This window comes from Homo sapiens, chromosome 1, assembly GCF_000001405.40.
Source record: "Homo sapiens chromosome 1, GRCh38.p14 Primary Assembly".
In the NCBI taxonomy this organism is placed as follows: Eukaryota; Metazoa; Chordata; class Mammalia; order Primates; family Hominidae; genus Homo; species Homo sapiens.
The window spans coordinates 62,851,746-62,874,022 of record NC_000001.11 but is presented as its reverse complement, the minus strand read 5'-3'; the positions used below and the strand labels follow the sequence as shown (position 1 = coordinate 62,874,022).

General features: G+C 35.2%; 1 protein-coding gene across 2 annotated transcripts in view; it reads right to left on the bottom strand.

Annotated features, from left to right (window-relative positions):
* Window positions 1-8,506: 8,506 nt before the first annotated feature.
* Window positions 8,507-22,277, bottom strand: part of ATG4C (autophagy related 4C cysteine peptidase) — an 81,385-nt gene continuing 67,614 nt past the window's right edge. For both annotated transcript variants that reach the window (NM_032852.4, NM_178221.3), the window contains exon 11: window positions 8,507-10,031. In NM_032852.4, coding sequence (NP_116241.2) covers window positions 9,864-10,031 — 168 coding nt within the window. In that variant the 3' untranslated portion in view covers window positions 8,507-9,863. The remainder of the gene's footprint in view (window positions 10,032-22,277) is intronic.

Here is a 22,277-nt window from a genome sequence, read left to right as displayed (position 1 = left end):
CGCGCCCGGCCAATTATACATTTTTAAAAATTTGTAACTATAGTAATGTATTTGCTTCTCTATCAACACATTTAAAAATCCTAGTAGCAAAACCTACCAAAATTTCAAAGCAGTGTAAATACTTCAAGGTATCTATATTAGCTGTAATATAAAAAATATCTATAATTTCTATTAGTAGTAATGTTCTAGCTACTGCTAACACTGCTATATTTTGTTGTCTGTATTCTTATTGAAAGGAAATACTATATTTCAGGTAGATGTTGGTAAAAATAAAGATGTAAATGTTTTTCCAACCCAAGCTCATGAACCCCTAAATTCTATTCATGGGTTCATCAGGTTAAGAACCCCAGCATTAAATGACCTACTCTCTCTGCCCCATCTAAATTCACTGAGTATATGCATAAATTCACTAAGTATATGCATAGAATGTATAGAATTATATCTAGGTAAAACAGAATCTAAGAATAGGGCTTGAGGAATCACATTCCAATTTTAAATTTTCATATTTTAAAGTGTTAAAACCAAAACCCTGCTCTTCTGATGTCTACACCCTTTTTTTCCCCCTTCATAGCATTCTTCTTCCTGTTTCTCTTCTAGGCATCCACCTAATTATACGTTTCAGCCTGGCCATCACAGCCCTCAGTCACCTGCAGAATGTTTAGCATCACCCCTTACTACCTACTAGCAGTGCTCCCTAGCCAGTACAACCAAAACCAGCCACATGCACCTCAACTGTGCCCCGTGGGGATGGCCCCTGCCCCAAACCCACTTCTGTTTAGAAAGCAGGACCCTGGACCCTGGCTCTCAGTCTTTGTGTTGTTTCTTATTAGTTCAGATACTTACCTTATCACTGCCTGTATATAAATCAAATCAAGACTTTTAGAATTCATCCAAAATGCCACCTCCTCCGGGAAGACTTGCCTAATCCCCATAACCATATGTGAGCTGTCTTCTTTTGAAACCAAATAACCTTTTACTTTGTATAACTTCTATTATAAACATTCTCTTTCTCGATCATGGATGAGTTTTTTGTGTATTTTCCCCATCCTTAATTCTAAGCTCCCTGACAGAAGTGTCACTTTTTAAAAAATCTCAATGTATTCTGTAGTGCTTCATGGACATTCAATATTAGCATAGAATTAAGAGGTTTTTGTTTTATTTTTCCTAATTCTTGCATTCCAATGCCAGTTCAAAAAAAAAAAAGGAATTTTAAAGTCTTTTCAAATCTTGAGACTGGCATGAATAAAATCTTTACAACACTTTTAAAGGCTAACACTTATTGAGTACTTACTGTGTGCCAGGCACTTTTCTAATAAGTGTTTCACATGTTTCCTCCCTTAATCCTTACAACAGCCTTCTGCTGCTACTATACTACGACAGTGACTGTTATCCCCATTTTATAGATGTTAAGTACTTGCTCAAGGCCATATTGCTGGTAAGTGCTAAAGTCACAATTTGAGCTGAGCCAGTCTGACTCTACAGTTTAACCAGTTCATTATGTCTTCTCAAATGTATAACACTGGAGTTTGACCAAAAAATTAAGCATCTGTTTTCCCCAAAATATAAAGATTCGTATTTTTTTCCAAACTAGTAGTACTGGGTGAATATGTAAAGCCTTACTTTTGAAGCACTTGTTCTGGATGATGCAATGGTATAATGTAATCTACTATAATTGATTTGTTCTTATACAACATGATCATAGTTCTAAGAACTGTATTTTGCATGTTTTACTTTCTAAACATGTATCTTCAGCATTTTGGGCCAATTTTCTACTATGTAAAATTTCAATAATAAAAATAAAGATTTATGTTTTAAAAATAAAGACTGGGCTGGGCGCAGTGGCTCATGTCTGTAATCCCACCACTTTGGCAGGCCGAGACAGGTGGATCACTTGAGGTCAGGAGTTCAAGACCAGCCTGGCCAACATGGTGAAACCCCGTCTCTACTAAAAATACAAAAATTAGCTGGGTATGGTAGTGCACACCTGTAATCCCAGCTACGTGGGAGGCTGAGGCGAGAAAATAGCTTGAGCCCAAGGGGCAGAGGTTACAGTGAGCTGAGATCACGCCACTGCACTCCAGCCTGGGCGATAGGGCAAAACTCCATCTCAAAAAAAAAAAAAAAAAAGAATAAATAAATGAAGACTGAAAGAAATGAGAAAACATTTTCCAGAAATTGCCATGCAATGTTGAAAAAGAAGAACAGAGCTGAAGGACTTACACCTCCCAATTGCAGAATTTATTACAAAGCCAAGGTAATCAAGACAGTATCAAACTGGCATGAGGCTAGATAAATGGAATAGATTTGAGAGTCTACAAATAAACCCTTATATTTACAGTCAGTTGACTTTCAACAAGGGCGACAACACTATTCATTTGTTGAAAAGAGTAGTCTTTTCAACAAATGGTGCTTGGACAACTGGACATTACATGCAAAAGAATAAACACCTACCTCACACCATATACAAAAATCAACTCAAAATGGATTTAAAACAAAAAACAAAAAAAAAACCTAGGCCAAGCATGGTGGCTCACGCCTGTAATCCCAGCACTTTGGGAGGCCGAGGCGGGTGGATCATAAGGTCAGGAGTTCAAGACCAGCCTGACCAACATGGTGAATCCCCATCTCTACTAAAAATACAAAAATTAGCTGGGTGTGGTGGCGCATGCCTGTAATCCCAGCTACTCAGGAGGCTGAGGCAGGAGAATCGGTTGATCCTGGGAGGCAGAGGTTGCAGTGAGCCAAGATCACACCACTGCACTCCAGCCTGCACTCCAGCGACAGAGTGAGACTGTCTCTTTAAAAAAAAAAAAAAAAAAAAACCCTAAATGTAACAGCTAAAACTATAAAACTCTTAGGAGAAAGTATAGGTATAGACCCCTTTAGGACCTTGAATCAATCAATGGTTTCTCAGATATAACACCAAATGCACAAGAAATTAAAAAAACATAAATTAGACTTTATCAAAATTAAAACTTTCAGTAGTTCATAGGATACCATCAACAAAGTAAAAAGATGGCTGGGCACGGTTGCCCACATCTGTAATCCCAGCACTTTGAGAGGCCGAGGCAGACAGATAACTTGAGGCCAGGAGTTCAAGACCATCCTGACCAACATGGCAAAACCCCATCTCTAATAAAAAATATAAAAATTAGCCAACATGGTGGTGCAAGCCTGTAATCCCAGGTACTTGGGAGGCTGAGGCACAAGAATCACTTGAACCCGGGAGGTGGGGGTCACAGTGAGCTGAGATCGTGCCACTGCACTCTAGCCTGGGCGACAGAGCGAGACTCTGCCTCAAAAAAAAAAAAAAAAAGATAAAAAGACAACCTACAGAACAAGAGAAAATGCTTGTAAATCATATATCTGATGAAGTACTTGTATCCCAAATATGCAAAGAACACTTATAACTCAATAATATAAACACAAATAACCTAAATTTAAAATGAGCAAAGATTTTAAATATACATTTTTCCAAAGAAGACATAAAAGTGGTCAACAAGCATATGGAAAGATAAACATTATTAGTCACTAGGAAAATGAAAATCAAAACCAAAATAAGGTACCATTCACACATACTCTGCTGGCTAAAATTTAAAAGCTAGACAATAACAAGGGTTAGTGAGAAAGTAGAAAAGCCAGAACCCTCATACATTGCTGCTAGGATTGTGTAATGGTGAACCACTTTGGAAAACAGTTTAGGAATTCCTCAAATAGTTAAACATAGTTATAAACATGATCAGCAACTCTACTCCTAGGCAAATATCCAGTAGAAATGAAAATATACACCCACACAAAATCATGTACACAAATGTTCTGAACAGCATTATTCATAGTAGCTAAAAAGTAGAAAAAAATCGCAATGTCCATCAATTGATGAATAAGGAAAATGTGGTATACCCATCTAATAGAATATTACTGTCATAAAAAAAAGTAATGAGGTGCTAACAAATACATGCAATAACATGGAAGAAACTTGAAAAAAATTATGGCAAGTTAAAGGAGTCAGACACAAAAGGCCATATAGTGTATGATTCCATTTAGATGAAATGTCCAGATTAGGCAAATCCATACAGGCAGAAAGATTAGTGGTTGCTAGGGCTGGGGACGGAAGAAAAAAGGGGTGAAGAATGGGAAGTGAGAGTGGGTACAGGGCTTCTTTTTAGGGTAATTAAAATACTCAGGAATTTGGTAATGGCAATCATTACACAACTATGACTATATTAAAAACCACTAAATTGTGGTTTTTAAAGTTATTTTACTTTAAAAGGTTGAAGTGTCTAATGTGTAAATTACATCTCAATAAAGCTATTATTTAAAAAAGAAAACCCCAAGATACTACTTCACACACACAGTAGAATGGCTATAACAAAAAGACAGAAAACAGAACTATGTAGACATTAGACGTATATCATCTGACGCCCCTGAGCCACCTTAAACATTATGGAATTTGGACTTTTAAACATCATCTGACGAAGATGCACTTTGAGCTCTGAGTTGATGCTGCCTGCCAGCTAATATCACAATCTTTGTATAGCAGATTAGATAACTGTTGGATTTTATATTTCATTCCCTCTTATTTTGCAGGAAAACAGAAAAATCACAGTGCTAAAACTAGTGCTAAGAAATGTAGATCTCATAAATTTAATATAAAGATAGAAATAATCATTAGCCTCAATGAAATGCTCAGTCAACTGTATATTCTACTATAAGTCAACTTTAAGTCAGTCAATTGAATGTTCTAATACAAAAGAACAAAAAAGAAAGATCTGTGAGATACCAAAAGTGTATCATTAAGACCATGTAAAAGCCTATATGATTAAAAATAATTTGGTTTTAAATATTTTTATATTTTTAACTCTCTGCATAAGAACCTTCCTTAAAACACTGTTTAAAAATATCTATTGTTCAGTTCCTTCATATTCAACTGTCTCAAGTGTTTGTGGGAACATATTACATACAAAACCAAGAATGTCTCTGTAGGTATAGACATGTGCTAGTGGCCATAAGACTGGCCAAGCCCAGGTCAGGTCTAGGAGCCAACCACAAGTCACGGGAAAGACCAACATGCAGGTCAGAGGCATAAAACAGTCAGTATATAGATCCAAATACAAAAGACAGAATAAGTGGTGGCCCTCTTCATCAATAGAATAAAGAAATAGGAATCAAAATTCAACCTATTGAACACGCTTAAAGAGTAATGAGAATACGAACCTAAAGTAGAAGGGAGTATAGAAAAATGAAAGTAATATGTTGAAGTATCATGTAAGTATAGGTTGATCCTTTCCAAATGATATATATTTAAAGTATTTTAGAAATAATTTAAATAACCAGACAGTTGACCATGGACTCTCCTTACCTGTTCCATTATGTGATCATCTAAGTCCCAGAACTCATATTAATTGTTCCGTCAATCCCAGATCTAATTCCCCATCTTAGATTCATTAGCTATATTTTAATACAAATGAACTAAACTGAACAGTGCAGCATAAATAGCAAGTAGTATGTAAATATTAGGAACTCAAATGCTACATTGCACAATTCCAGGGAGTACCATTCATGTAACATATACTAAAAATTAGTGTCCCGTGGAGTTCTGCAACATGGTAGCCCCATATCCACTGGCCCTTATCAGTATTTACATTCTTCTACTGCCTACATTTAATTTTAAATCATCCCAGCCCACAATACTTTTTAATTAATGTATTTTTATCTGTGTCAGTTTGCTATGGTGTATTTGCCTAGATACACTCAAAACTTGCTGTTAATCATTCTCTTATCCTTTTGTTATAACTTCTATTGGATTTCAACTTTCTTTTGTTTACCTTTCCTGCTTATAAAACAACTTTTTATAAAACCCTTGACTTCTCTATTTTATTAATGAATATTAGTATATTTATTTATAATACTTATAAATATATGTATCATATTTATAAATAATTTTTAAATAATTTAAATGAAAGACAATTCTGAGTAGAATATTTTCTTATCATTCACTCTTGGATGACAATTTTGGAAGACTGAGTTTCTACATTTCTGGAAGAACTGGTTGGAGAGAGGGTAGCACAGAAAGAGTAATCTTCCCTTCTAATAACATGTATTCTCCACATTTAGCATATTTTTCTTATCACTGTGAGAGAATAAGTGAAATTTTATAACTGTAGTTGTGAATGTTTTGGGCCATTGCTTGCCACCAATAACGTCAAGAAGGACTGTAAAAAAGAGAGGAAAATGCTAACTCAAAAATGTGTCTGCAATACCAACTCTAAATATAATATTTTTCAAAGTTTATAGTCAAGGAAAAAGTCTTTAAATAACCATGAAAGCCACACAAAAATGCTTAAGATTTTAAAACTGACTTAAGATTCAAAATATGAAATGATATAAAATTTATATTTTATAATCAATAGGATGTTTCCAATTCTCCTGGCCTGATGTTTCACCTTTTCAGTTCTGTATCTGAGTACTCAGTATAAAGGCTCAGAGAAATAGCAATATTGAATGGTGGTTGACTGACAATACTGAGGGTATAATAAATGTCACATGATAAATATTTACTCGCCTAGAGTTTTTTTGGGGAAGACATTTACTCTCCTTTTTTTATAGAAAATAATCCCTTATCCTTTCCAAGAATTGCCTCTATCATATATTCTGAATATCTTGCTTCTATTTCACCATGATTTTAAATTCTCAGTTTCCTACCCATTTCTGTTTAAGTAACAATTCATGTAGTGATTTCATATTTTCAAGTTGTTCTGTCATTATCTGTCCTTCCTTGTTTCTTGATTTTAGAAAATCCTTTATAGTTTTTCATGATTATTTAGGAACATATAGTCAAAAAGACAATGTCAAATGCAAGCTATTAAAGGTGATCTGTGATAAACCATGAAAATGAAACTTCCTAGTAAAAATTAAAGAAAAAAAGAGGGGCCTGTCTTGGGGTGGGCGGAAGGAGGAGGGATAGCATTAGGAGATATACCTAATATAAATGACGAGTTAACGGGTGCAGCACACCAACATGGCACATGTATACATATGTAACAAATCTGCACGTTGTGCACATGTACCCCAGAACTTACAGTATAATAAAAAATAAAATAAACAGAATAAAGTGCTTTCTAGTATTGAATAATGGAAGGGAACTAGAGGTCTCTAAAAAATAGAGATTCTTGCCTAAAATTAGATAGATTATATAGCTAAGTCATTTTTGCTGTTAATCTTCTAAAAACAAGATGGAATTAACATATATATTTAGATATGTTTGCCCTTGGACAATGTTAAATCTTAATGATCATAGAACACAAAAGCAACCTAAATTTTTAATCCTCTAAAGTTGTCTTCTCACTAATACAGATTTAATGAGGTTGGTTTAATGTAAAAACAGAAATATGAATACCTCAAGGAAATTTTCTGGATATACTTACACTGTAAAGGATCTTTTCCTTCACTCATTCAGCAAATTATGACCCTTAAGATTGCCTGCTGGTGGTTAACACATTGACAAAAAGGGATTCAAAGTGTCAAATCTTATGAAGAAAAGAGAAAAGAAAACCTCACCATCAGAAAGTCACATCAAGAATTTTAAAAATTCATTTCTGAAATGTTAATGGTAAAATCCAGTATCTTAATATTAATGTGCAAATGGAGGATTCTCCTATCATAGTTCTAGCAGAACACTCATCTTAGAATCTTGTCCTTTTTGACTTTCCTTTATTCCAGGCTGAAAAAGATCATCCATAAGCTTTATTGACTGAGTTTACTAGCTGTCAGAACTTGAAATGAAATCTGTGTTCACAACAAAGTCTGAAACCAGGATGTACAGTACGTTTGTTCTAAATCTAATGATATACTTTTGTTGGTGCCTTCCAAATAAAAGATTAGCATAACTTTTGGCTGGTCGTTGACTGAAGGTGAATTACTAGGCAAAATAAATTGACCCCCTCTCAATTATCATGCATGCATTCATTCACTTACACATATTAGTCAATACTTTTATGTGCCTTATTACGTAAAACAATTTCTGATTCCAAACATTTATTCCCAGTCATGAGGATGACTGTACTGTAAGATTTGTCTGTAAAATATACTAAGTGTTTTCCATACAATTCAATGTAAAGGAAATTTTTGCCTCCTCTCACATTAACTTTGTCCAGGTGTAACCTTGTCTCATTCCAATAATCTACCTAAAAATGATCCCTAAATATGTTGAAGAAATAACACTGCTATTCTGTAACTCTTAAGCTTTTATATTAGTTCTTGTAAGAACATTTACAACTGGTTCAGACCCACTTGAAGGTATGGGTGCTCTCATTGGATGTGTTTACCATAGAATCCTGTGAATACAGCAGCTATATAGGAACAGTAAATTGCAATAGCTTAGATCAGACAACTGCAGTGTATAAAATCTGGTATACCACTGGCTTCTTGTTCCTATATTGCTTTGACATTCTAGGAAAATTAGTATTGGACTTAAATTTGTGCTGACTGTATTTAGACTAAAGAAAACTTTTAGATTTCAGACTATTTATTTCAACTCAGTAAGTAATCTTCACTGAGAAATGTCAAACCTGATTTTTCTCATCAGGTATACTAAAACAATCCGCCCACCCTCTCTTTCAGCTTTACATGCAACTCTAAACAAACAGGTTTTCTGATGGAAGAGATCAATGACTTTAGATGATACACAATTTTATGTCTTTATAAGTCACGTTTCTACACTGAAACATGAAAGCTCCACTTAAAAAAATTAATATTGTTTTCAGAGCAATATATGCATTTATTATAAATGAACAGAATTCATTTGAGACACTGATTTTTCAAATGAAAGGATTAAAATAATCCCAACATTAAAACCAAAACAAAAGCATTTTATCTTCTCACATCTTTATTATGTATTTTATAATCCTAGCTCAAAAATCACTCTTGTACTTTTAGATCACAAATTTGCCTTTAAGTAACACATAATACACTTAAGGCAGATTTGCCTTACAGGTGGCCTCAGCTTCTAAACACCACTACACTGCTTTATATAAAAAACAAAAATCACATAGAAGAGAATCTAGTGACATCTTTCTTGGTATTTTAAACTTAAAAACTGCATAATAAATTGAGTTCCCATAAAATTTCGCCCTTGAGATAGGAAACAAACACTACTACTATTTTATAGTTGCCTTTATCTGACTTGATTGATGCAGTTATAATAGTATTAATAACATAATCTTTAAATTTGTGAGGGAAAACCAATACTTTATATTCACTCCTCATAAAAGGTTCAACAGCAAGCATAATGAGGAGCCATTATAAAATCATATTGCTAAGTATTACTTTAACTCATAATTCTGCTTATATAAGTGTATGCATATCACAGTTAACAAATACTATTTAATTATCAAGACATATGCAAAAGTATTCTTTGATTGCATTAATAGCAGGAGGCTAGACAGCATTAAAGTTTCCTTCTCTGATCTTCTGGTCTTCAGTACAAACTGAGAATTTTGAAACTATTTGGTGATCCCAGTCTTTGGGGGAGGGTTAATATCACAAAACCTCCATGAGAACAATGGGCTCAGGTGGAAGACTTTGAAGACTAAAAGGCTTACAGTTAAGGTAGAATTATCACTAGTAGATCTTAGGGAAATAGGAATGCAACCAGAATCACTCAATTTATTTATTAGAAAGCAAGATTCATTAAATCATTTCTCTTTTAGAAAAATATCTTTAACTGTTATATTTTCAAATGTTCTTTTTTAAAGAACATATAAAATTAAGATATTTGTGAAAATAAACATTTCAGATATACTTGTTTCTCTTCATTTTTCCCCTTTCAATGGAATTCTTCTTATCAAGCACAAATGTGCTAATCTTTAAAGCAAGACAAACTCTTCCGTGCTAAATCTTTTTAATTGTTTCTTTTCATCCTCTGAAAAAAGGTCTTCTTCATTGGTTGTAGTAGATGTAAAATCATAGTCTCTGGAATGACCATTTACAAAAGTAAATAAGGGATATTTCTCCTTAGAAGAAAATTTCAGCATCTGTAACAGAAAGTATAGAAGAATTCCTTATTGGATGCAATAGTGCACACTAAGACCACACGACAAATCTACTGTTTTAGCCCTGAACCTCTCCTGTTAGCTTCTTTCATTTACATTCACCCAGTGCTACTCCTTTGCCTGTTCTGGCTAAAAGACAAAAAATGATTAGCATTGTATTGTTTATTTATAGGTAAATGCATGCTCCTTCATTGGGATTAAATCATCAAAGTATATGCTCACTCTCACCTCCCACTTCCCCAAAGTAAGTTTTCTGGTCACATTAGTCTGAAGAAATACTAGAGAGTTAGGTTGTAATTTATCTTCTTTAGGTAGTAATAGACAATGAAACAAAATGGTATCACTGACTATGATAAAATATTGTAGAAGACTGTTTGGTAATCTAGGCAGTAAACTGAGTCAGAAGGTCCATTCTAATCTCTGTTTTGTAACTAACCTTGATGTGACCTTGGACACATCACTCTACCTGAATAACATCTATAAAACAGGGTAATCACTGCTCGGCTTTTTGGCTAAGATCAAGTGTACAAAAACAGAGCAAAAGAAATCCAATTTTTCTACCTCAGAGAACTGTTAAGAAGATCAAAAGCAATAATATGAAGTTATTTTTAAAAAATAACTTTGGTCTTTTCAAAGATTCCCTTTTAAAAAATATTTTAAATAAACTATTTCTACAATAATCTAGTCAACATGAAAAATGACCTTCTCACACATAGTAATAATCCACATTTTACATATTATCTTCTAAAGTTACATTACATACAAAAAAAAGCAATACCTAGAATTTTGTGAGGATATTCACAACCTTTATAGCCCATCAATTTGAGATTCACAAGTATAATATAAACAATTTTAAATATTTCTGTTAAACAAGTTCTATTCAAAACTTTTAATGATTTTCATTAAAAAATGAATTAAACATTTTGAGTAAAGGATGTTTTGACAAAAAGAAATTTTCAATAGGTAAGCAGGGCCACAGGAATTCCGAAAAGTTACTATGCAATTTACAGAGAATGCTAAAAAGAATACAGTATTTATATACAACATAATTATTGTCAGTTAAATGCAATTTGTTTTTAAAAGATAATTTCAGAGGCAAAACTGCATTATCTCAAATGTCAACATTCAACTGAAGGATCATCAATTTCTTACATATTACATTTATAGATTCTCTTGAAACATGGCCAGATAGGTAGGCCTAGCATATGATATAAAATTAAAAATATTTCAATGAGACAACTATATAAAATATATTTTTAATTGAATGGAAATGAACCATTAAAAAACAATCAATATTAACAAAACTAGACATGATGAAAATCAGATCCTATAGTTCATATTGTGCTTATTTATACATTGCTGAAATTTATTTTATTTATATACTACAAAAAAGAGAAGAGAGAAGACCAAAAATGTGTAAAATGAAAAATAAGAGGCAGAGAGTATTGGCATCTGATTAATCATCTTTCACCTCCAGCCAATAGCTGGAATATAGTCCAAAAACTGTTGTCATTTTTATATTCATTTAATGTCACTTGTAAAAGTCCAGTATCTAACGGGCAAGTATCCACATATCATTTTCAGATCAACACAGCAGAGTTAACATTATCATCTCTTCATCCTTTCTTTCAAGATTAAGAAAGGAGTTATTCGGGTTTATTAATATAGGACTAAGTTGCTCATCAAAGTTAAGATTCAAATCTGTGTCCCAGGTGAAAAAAAAAGTCAGAAAGGAAACTGCTACCCTTTAATTTAAAAATGCATCTACTTTTTGCAAATCTTTTTGCAGTATAAGGTCTCCTTATGCACAATATTTATTGATTCAGGCTTGGAGAATTATTTTCCAAACTTTGCTGAGTTTATTTAAGTATTTAAAGAGTATCAAATTAACAATATATTAAAGGTTTACCCAAATGAGTTGAAAATTTATGTCCACATAAAATCCTGCACATGGATGTTTATAATAGCAGCTTTAATCATAATTTGATTCTGAAAAGTTTAAAATGTGAAAAGGTTAGTGTTCTTTTTTATATTACAAGAATGGCTACATTGTCAAAACCTTAAAAGTCCTTCCATAATGGATGGTATAATATCCAAATGAAAAAATACAATTTAGGCTATCTATGTGACATGGAGATACTATACAAAATAAAAGTTAATCTAAATTATTTGATAACTTGGAAAATGTTTATTACATAATCCTTAAAAAAGATATAAAGCTATAAAATTTAGTTTCAATTATGTTAAAATAATTTCAAATATATATTTTGAAAAGACTGAAAGATAACAAAACATTAAGTTACCTCTGAATGAAACAGTGATTTTTCTCATGTGTTTGTGTCTCTCTGTGTGTGTGTGTGTGTGTGTGTGTGTGTGTGTGTGTGTGTGTGTGTGTGTTCTATTTTCCAAGCTTCTTTCTTCTGAAACATACTCTCACTCTGTCGTCCAGGCTGGAGTGCAGTGGCATGATCACGGCTCACGGCTCACTGCAGCCTCGACCTCCTGGACTCAAATGATCCTTCTACTTCAGGCTCCCGAGTAGCTGGGACTACAGGTATGTGCCACCATACCTGGCTAATTTTGTATTTTTTATGCAAATGGGGTCTCACTATGTTGCCCAGGCTGGTCTCAAACTCCTGAACTCAAGTGATCTGCCCGCCTCTGCCTCCCAAAGTGTTGGGATTACAGGCATGAGTCACCACGGCCAGCCTATTTTTCGAACTTTCTAACATGTAATTCTTCTATTACATAGTAGGAGAAAACTATTATTTAAAAAAAATTTAAGGTAACTGAATTCACCATCTCATAGTTGTTTTTTAAAAGGGAATTCAGTGGTTTGCTCAACAACTTTAGAACAGGCAATTCTAAACTCTGTACTACTGTAATAACACAGCTAAAGCTACACTGAAGCTACTTTATTAGCTAAAAGGCAAAGCATACATTTCAGGAGATCAAATATTTTATCACACCTTTCCTAAGTACTGAGTTGACAGGTTTCAGAATTTACAAAGGAAAAAGCTGGAGGACAGAAGTTAAGCAATGTATACCATAATAAAGCTAGTAGTTGGTAGGACAGAAATAGAACCAGGAGATGATCACTTCTCCTCAAGCCAAAACTTTTTCCACTAGTCCCTGCCACCATATATGTAAAATTATTCCCCAGTACAGGGCAGTGTATATCTATGTAGCATATATTCACCACACTAGAGCTATACCCTATGTAGGGGTTAAGCTCTAAAGTCAGCCCATACTGCAAAATCAAGCACTGTCAAAAATCACCTTTAACAAGTCTTTAAATTGTTTAAAGGGTGATATGCATAATCTTGTGGATGTAACACTGTTCAGTAATATGTATAAATGTAAAATATATAGTTATGTAAATAGTACAGTCATGTGCCACAGAATAACATTTCAGTCAACAAGGACCACATACAACAGTGGTCCTATAAGATAATAATGCAGCTGAAAAATTCCTATCACCTAGTGTTGTCACAGCTGTCATAATGTCATTCCACAATGCATTATTCACAAGTTTGTAGTGATGCTGGTGTAAACAAACTGATTGTATGGCAGATAAAATTATGTACAGTACATAATATTTGATAATAAATGACTTAGTGGTTTAAGTATTTACTATACAATTTTTTATTATTTTAGAGTGTACTCATTTTACTTTTTTAAAAAGAAATTACCTGTAGAACAGCCTCAGGCAGGTGCTTTAGGAGGCACTGCAGAAGAAGGCACTGTTATCATAGGAGATGACAGCTGCATGTGTGTTACCATCCCTGGAGACCTTCTAGTGGGACAAGATGTAGGGGTAGAAGATAGTGGTATTGATGATCCTGACCCTGGGTAGGCCTAAACTAATGTGTATGTTTGTGTTTTCATTTTTAACAAAAAAGTTTAAAAGGAAAAGAATAAATTTTAAAAATAGAAAAAATCTTATAGAATAAGAATAGAAAGAAAATATCTTTGTAGAGCTGTACAATGTGTTTGTGTTTTAAACTAAGTGCTTATAAAACAGTCAAAAAGCTAAAAATAATTTAAAACTTTATAAAGTTAAAAAGTTACAGTAAGATGGTGAAACCCCATCTCTACTAAAAATACAAAAATTAGCCAGGTGTGGTGGTGGGCGCCTGTAATCCCAGCTACTCAGGAGGCTGAGGCAGAGAATTGCTTGAACCTGGGAGGCGGAGGTTGCAGTCAGTCAAGATTGCACCACTGCACTCCAGCCTGGCGACAGAGCGAGACTCCATCTCAAAAGAAAAAAAAAAGTTACAGAAAGATATGGTTAATTTATTATTGAAGAAATATGTTTTCTCATAAATTTAGTGTAGCCTAAGTGTACAGTGTTTATAAAGTCTATTGTAGTGTACAGTAGTGTCCTAGGCCTTCACATTCACTCACCACAGACTCACTAATTCACCCAGAGCAACCTCCAGTCCTGCAGGTGCCATTCATGGTAAATTCCCTACACAGGTACACCATTTTTTATTTTTTATACCATCTTTTTATAATATCTTTTCTATGTTTAGATACATTTAGATACACAAATACTTACCATTGTGTTATAATTGCCTCTAGTATTCAGTACAGTAACATGCTGTACAGATTTGTAGTCCAGGAGCAACAGGCTATACAGTTTGAATATTCCTTACCTGAAATGCTTAGGACGGAAGTGTTTCCATTTTGGATTTTTTTCAGATTTTGAAATATTTGCATTATATATACTTACTGGTTCAGCATCCCAAAGCTGAAAATCCAAAAATCCAAAATCTGAAATCCTAAATGTCCCAAACAGCATTTCCTTTTAGTATCATATCAGCACTCAAAATGTTTTGAATTCTGAAGCATTTTGGATTTCAGATTTTCAGATTAGGGATACTCAACCCATCCACACAGCCTAGGTGTGCAGTAGGCTACACAAATCCAGGTTTATGCAAGTACATTCAATTATGTTCGCACAACAATGAAATCACCTAACAACACATTTATCAGAATGTATCCCCATCATTAAGCAATGTATGACTGTATATAAAAAAGAGTATACATGGAAAAATATATTCCTGTTTTTTGTTACAAGAGCTCATATAGTCGAACTAAGTGTGCAAGTGATGTTAACTATCCTATTTCCTCACTACACAATCTTAAATCCTTGTATCCAACTTTTACCCCTCACTGTACTTAAAACACTCTCTTAAAAAAATACTTTCTTCTAGCCCTCAAATAAAAAGGCCTGTTATTAGTTCCTATTATTTCTACTGCAATCAACACTGCTGAGTATTTCTTTCTTAAAATACCATTTCCCTGATTTCTGAGATATTTTGCTTTCCTGTTTTTCCTTCTATTTTCTGAACGATTTCTTCTCTATCTCCTCCTTCATTGATTCTACTTATTTCCACATCCCAAAATGCAGATAAAAATCAACTGTTCCTTTATCTTCTGTCTACATTCACTCCTTCTATATTCTCTTCCTTAATATTACCTACTATCTGTCTCAACAATTTCTCTGCTAGGCTTATCATCCATGTTTTTGCAGATGGGAGAACTGAAATATTGAGGGGTTAGGTGACTCGTATAAGGTCACACAACTAGTAACTGACACAGTCAGGATCTAAGCATAGGTAGTTTTGTTCTGGTGTAACCACTACCACCTCCAACAGTAGTCAGTGGAGGCATGACTGCAACATCAACTTAAATTGATCATAAAATTTCCATTTCTTCCTCCTACTATCAATGGCAACAACATTTACATTAATTAGGAATGATTTTGTTGCAAGTGACAAAGAAAGAAATAATAGAAAACAATAACAACAATGTCAAATAATACGAACTGTTTTCACCAGCCTGACATTGCTACTTTGATTAATTGATGTCAGATGAACAGCTTCTACAATTCTCTTGGCCTTTCTCTCTGAATCAAATAGGACTGTTGAAACCCCAAGTGTTTAGTTTAAATTCAAGGAAGGGGCAGGTAGATGTAAGAGGACAGCACTGCATCTACATCCCATTACAGCAGGAGAGCAAAAGCCTTCCCAGAAACTTCCAGCACACACCCACTTATATTTCACTTACACCAAACTATTTCTAAAGAAATAGGAGGCTAGAAAAGCGAGTATTTGGTGGGTACTGTCACTGCAAACAAAATCAGGATTCTTTAGCAAAAAAGAAAGAGGGATGAGTATTGAACAGATAACCAATGGTGTTTGTACACCATTCAGAGATGAGAACCACAATAAAAATAAAACCGGCTCATGTGCTAAGGAAGGACTGGAAGGTTTCTTTAAGATGTGTTGTCAGAAAAGACCAAGCTGCAACCTGAATAACCAGCAGTCCCCAACCTTTCAGGAACAAGGGACTGATTTCATGGAAGACAATTTCTCCACGGACTGGGGGGGTGGGGATGGATTCAGGATGATTGAAGTGCATTACATTTATTGTGTACTTTATTTATATTATTACATTGCAATATATAATATATATAATGAAATAATTACACAACTCACTATAATGTAGAATCAATGGGAGCCCTGAGCTTGTTTTCCTGCAACTAGACTGTCCCATCTGGGGATGATGGGAGACAGTGACAGATCATCAAGCCTTAGATTCTCATAAGGAGCATGCAACCTAGATCCCTTGCATATGCAGTTCACAATAGGGTTCACACTCTTATGAGACTCTAATGCCACCGCTGATCTGACAGGAGGCAGAGCTCAGGTGGTAATGCGAGTAGTGATGGGGAATGGCTGTAAACACAGAGGAAGCTTCGCTCGCTAACCCGCCGCTCACCTTCTGCTTGCAGCCTGGTTCCTAACAGGCCACAGACTGGTACGAGTCCATGGTCCAGGGGCTGGGGGCCCCTGTGAATGACAATAAGGAGCCAGACATAAAAGTTCTGGGCGAAGAGCACTCTAGGCAGGGAAATCAGAGTGTAAAGGTCCTAGGATGCCAGCAAACTTTGCATGTTCAAAGAACAGAAAGCAAGCCAGCGTGGCTTGCAGGTAGAGGAAAACAGTAAGGATGGTACACAAGGGCCAGATCACTCAGGTCCCTGTAAGCCAAATTAACACATGATTTGGGTTTTACTGTTCCCTTAAACAGACTACCTCATAAACATCCTACCATAGATTTCCCCCAACATTTGACCTTGGTGGTTCTGCTCAGGATGTTTCTATCATCTAGTCATCCTTCATACTTCTTGTCTGATTGTACCAAACTCCATCAGTAAAGTTCCAGTCCAAGTTCCACTGACAACTATCTCACTCTACAGTGATTATTCCCTTCTCCAAAGTCCTATACATTTGTCTAGTATAATGTAAGGATCACAAACATGCACTGTGGAGTTGGACAGTATCAGTTCAAAACTTGGCTGATACTTATTAACTGTGTAACCCTGGGCAAATTACTATACCTGTCTCATTTTCCTTAGCTGTAAAATGCCAGTAATGATAGTATCTATCTCACAGAGTTGTTGTGCAGATTAAATCAGCTAATATATGTAAAGTACTTAGAGGATTGCCTGGCATCTAATGTGTTGGCTTTATCATTATTATTGAACTATCATAATATTAGTCTTCTGGCATTTAATTGTACAGTCATTTATCTTTAACCTCCATTTCATGTCTCCCCAAATAAACTATAAGCTGCTGAAGATTTCAAAAGTACGCAGAGTTTCTATCATTAGATCCTGGAAGTAAAAAAGATCTATGAAATTTAAAAAGTCACTCAGATTTCATGTGGAAAACACAGAACTAGAAGGAGGACCTCTAGGTGAACATAAGCCTGAAACACTAAAGTGATTTCAAAAAGACCTTAACCAAAATAGTGATGGGCATGGGAAACTGTGTACCACTGGAGAAAATGGGAGTAACTGTCCTAGAAGGGGAAACAACCCTATTATCTTATTCTATAAGACTACAGAGCAAACCTATTCTCTTACTCTATAAGACTACATACAGGCTGATTTCGATTCACCAAAAGAAGAAATTTTTTAACAATAAGGGTCTATCTGAAAACTGAAAATACTTCCAGGAAAAGTCATTAGCTCACTATAACCTGAAATAAAGATTAGATACTCAACTGTCTGGAACATGGACTGATGTATAAATAGGAGACTATACAGCATAGTGCTTATGAGCACACAGTCTTGAGTTACTGTCTCAGGTGAATCGCAGTACCACCGTTTATTAGTTGTGGCCTTTGTCAACACTGCTAAACCTTTCTAAATGTAAGATTCCTTATCTGTAAAATGGAGACAAAAGTACGTATCTCAGAAGGTTTGGTTGGTTAAATGAGATAATATACCATAGGTGAAGACTCAACAAATGTTAGCTTTGGACTGAATAACTTCTAAGATCTCAGGGATTCAATGGCTATAACATAAATTGTGTTTTGCAGCTAGAAGACAACTGGCCACATGTAAATTTTTCCCCTGTGCTGATATGCATTCCATAATCAAATAATTCATTCCCTAGTACATTTTCATTTGTGATTTCCTGTCCTCAAACACCAGCGCTACTAGGTAATAAGTTTAACAATGAACAGGTAATGTTTATCCTTGAATTACCAAATGATTATTTAATAATCATTAAATTGAGAACAAATGAAAAAAATAAGAATAAAAGGGGGTATGAGATAAAATAAAAAATAATCTACATCAGGCCATTTACAGCACAGCAGAGCAGGGGAAATACAACCTAAGTTTGTGAGTTAGGAAGGAGATGTGTTGGGATACCCATGAAAAGTAAGCAAATTCATCTTGCAGAACTTGGAGAGCAACAGTACAGAACGGCCAAAGACGTCATGGAAAGCAGAGGTGAGACCCAAAACTAAAAACAAGGAAACTGATAAAAACTTGTATGAACTCAATTCCCAGGTCCCTCCTTGCAACCAATACCCTTCTTCACCCCCCTCTCCAGCCATCCCCCATACACAAAAATAAAGATTTATTCTTTGGAAAAACTGAATAGATAATGATATGAACTCCAGTACACCAGACACAGTGATGACTTCAGAAGCTGAATAATTAAGTGTCAGTCTAAAAATAGGAAACCGTAGGGTCCTCAGTATCCTTCACTTCCTGCTCCTGGAGCTAGAGCAGACAACATATATTCATTCCACAGGCTCTTAAGAGACGGCAAAACTTTTCTTTGAGAAAACGAAACAACTCCAGAGAAAAGACCACCACTTACTAACATGTAAGGGTCACCCAACAAAAAGGCAAGCTCATTACATGATCATCCTAGTATGAAAGTTAACAGCTAAAAAGCCAAGCTCAAACACACAGAGCTTCTACTCAGCTTTTTAGTGCCTTACTATTAAATATAAACAGAGAGAAGGTCACTAGTCATTTGGGGGAAAGCATATAAAGAAAAACCAGATGATTAAAAGAAAAAACAGCTGGACGTGGTGGCTCATGCCTGTAATCCCAGCACTTTGGGAGGCCGAGGTGGGAGGATCACAAGGTCAGGAGATCGAGACCATCCTGGCTAACACGGTGAAACCCCGTCTCTACTAAAAATACAAAAAATTAGCCGGGCATGGTGGCAAGTGCCTGTAGTCCCAGCTACTCGGGAGGCTGAGGCAGGTGAATGGCATGAACCGGGAGGCGGAGCTTGCAGTGAACCAAGATCGCGCCACTGCACTCCAGCCTGGGTGACAGAGCAAGACTCTGTCTGAAAAAAAAAAAAAGAAAGAAAAAGAGAAAAGAAAAAACAAAACCATGAAAGAGTCCAGAAGGAAGCATAAACAACAAAAGAAACAGAAGAAAACTTCAAAATTACTATTTTATAGTAATTACAAAATTACTATAAAAATTACTATAATTAATTTTCTAGGGGAAAAGAGAAAATACATCCAAAAAAAGAAAGGAATTCTATGAAAAAGGAATAGAAAAAATATCAATAACAACTAAAAATGTAAGCATCCTAATTGAAATTTAAGAACAACAGAATAGGTAGAAGGTAAAGCAGAGGAAATCTTCCAGTACAAAAATATGAAGACCATGAGAAACAAAAGGAAAAAAGAGAAAAACTAGGGAGCAATTCAGAAGGTCCAAACTGTATAATAAGAGTTCCAGAAGGTAAGAACAAAGAAAACAGAGGAAACGATTATTTTTAATTTCAAAGACATTTCCCATAATGGAAGAAAGCAGGACAATCAATGACAAAGAATGCAAACCAAGACACATAATGAAGCTTCAAAATATTAGGGATAAATAATTGTAACTGGCCGGGTACAGTGGCTCATGCCTGTAATCCCAGCACTTTGAGAAGCTGAGGCAGGAGGATTGCATGAGCCCAGGAGTTCACGACCAGCCAGGGCAACATAGTGAAACCCTGTCTCTACAAAAAATGTAAAAATTAGCTGTTGTGGTGGTACACACCTGTGGTCCCAGCTAGTCAGGAGGCTGAGGTGGGAGGATTGCTTGAGACCACGAGGTCGGGGCTGCAGTGAGCTATGATTGCACCACTGCACTCCAGCCTGGGCAACATAGCAAGATCCTGTCTCAAAAGTAAAAATAACAGTAATAATTATAGCTAACACGTTAGTGCTCCTATAAACCAAGCACTAGTCTATTAAATCTTTAATCCTCATAATGATGTTACAGAGAACGGTGGCTATTAGTATTTTCATTCCATGAGAAAACTGATGCACAAAGAAGTGCAGCAATGCACCTAAAGGTACACAGCAATTAGGTGATGGAGTTGGGATTCCAACCTGAAAGCTCTCAGAGAAAAAAAAAATTTCATTTGGCGTAAAATAATGCAGAATGACATCAAACTTCTCAACAACACTAAATGCTAGAAGGGAGTGGAACAATGCTTCTAAAGTTCAGGGGAAAATTATTTTCATTTTAGAATTCTGTATCTAATTAAATTATCAATAAATTAAAAGATAAAGCTGGTCGACATGCAGGAATTCAAAAAATTTACCATCTATGCATCTTTTTCATAGGAAGGCACTAGAAAATATGCTCCAGCAAGAGAAAGGAATAAACTAAAAGATTCAGAATATAGGAGATCAAATACAGGAAAGTGGCATCAGGAAGTTCCAAACTGACCACTCTGCACCAGGCCTGGAGAACAGTTAAGGTGAGAGTGAATAGAAAACAGAAATGAGCAAATCTCCAGAAAAAAAGAGATTTTTCCTATGTTTATAATTACGAAAAACTTACCGCTAGGTAGTTGACAGATATAACTGAACATTTAGAAAAAAAAAAAATAGGTAAAAACAGAACTAAGGAAATGAAAAAAGGGGAAAGGAGTACTAACTCTAAGAAATACAAAGGATAGGAAAAAAGAAATGTAATCATAGCACATTATGTGATTAGTAAACAATATTATGGAGGCATAATGTGAACACTGAATAGTGACTAACCAAAATCTATGTTATAACTGTAGTGGGAGTATGGCTAGGAGAAGAGAAACCAGGTGAAAGGGTATGGGAAGAGAGTTAAATCCTCAAGTACTATAACTAAAAAATAACAAAGAATGTCTACAGTGGACTAATCAAGAAACTGCAGAATAAGCACATTACAGCAGGTTCCCAAATAATGTCATTTTGTTCAACATTGTGTGATTATAATGTTCATGAAGAAAAAAAATCAATTCCCAGCCAGAGCCACTATCTGTGTGAAGTTTGCATATTCTCCTCATGCCTGTGTAAGGAGGTTACTCCAAGTTCTCCAGTTTCCTTTCACATCCCAAACATGTGCACATGAGGTGAGCTGGTGTGTCTGCACTGATCCGGTCTGGGAGAATAATGGTGTGTGTATGAGTATACCTTACTCCGGGTAGCTTCCCACCTTGCGTCCTGAGCCTCCAGAATAGCCTCTGGCCACCTACAACCTGAACTGAATAGGCCAGCTGGAGAATGAACGAATGAATGAATGAATGAATGAATACAAATTATTGCCAAATAAAAATGTGTAAGGTATACAACAATCACACAAATGCTTGACAATAAACACACGGTAACAAGGCACTCAGTAAGCCTGCCAGATTTGTGATTGTTCTGGAACTGTGTGGTGGTAGGAGGTGCTTCTTACAATTTTCGCTTTGCAAACTATTCCTTGATTTAACCCACCACCACGACTGCTGTTGCTCACTGATCCACCAACAATTGTAAGATAAACAATTATCTTACATAAACAATTATCTTACATTCCTTTTTTTCTAAGCTTTGTTTTTCTTGGAGTTAGTATTCCCACTCCTTTTTCATTTCCTT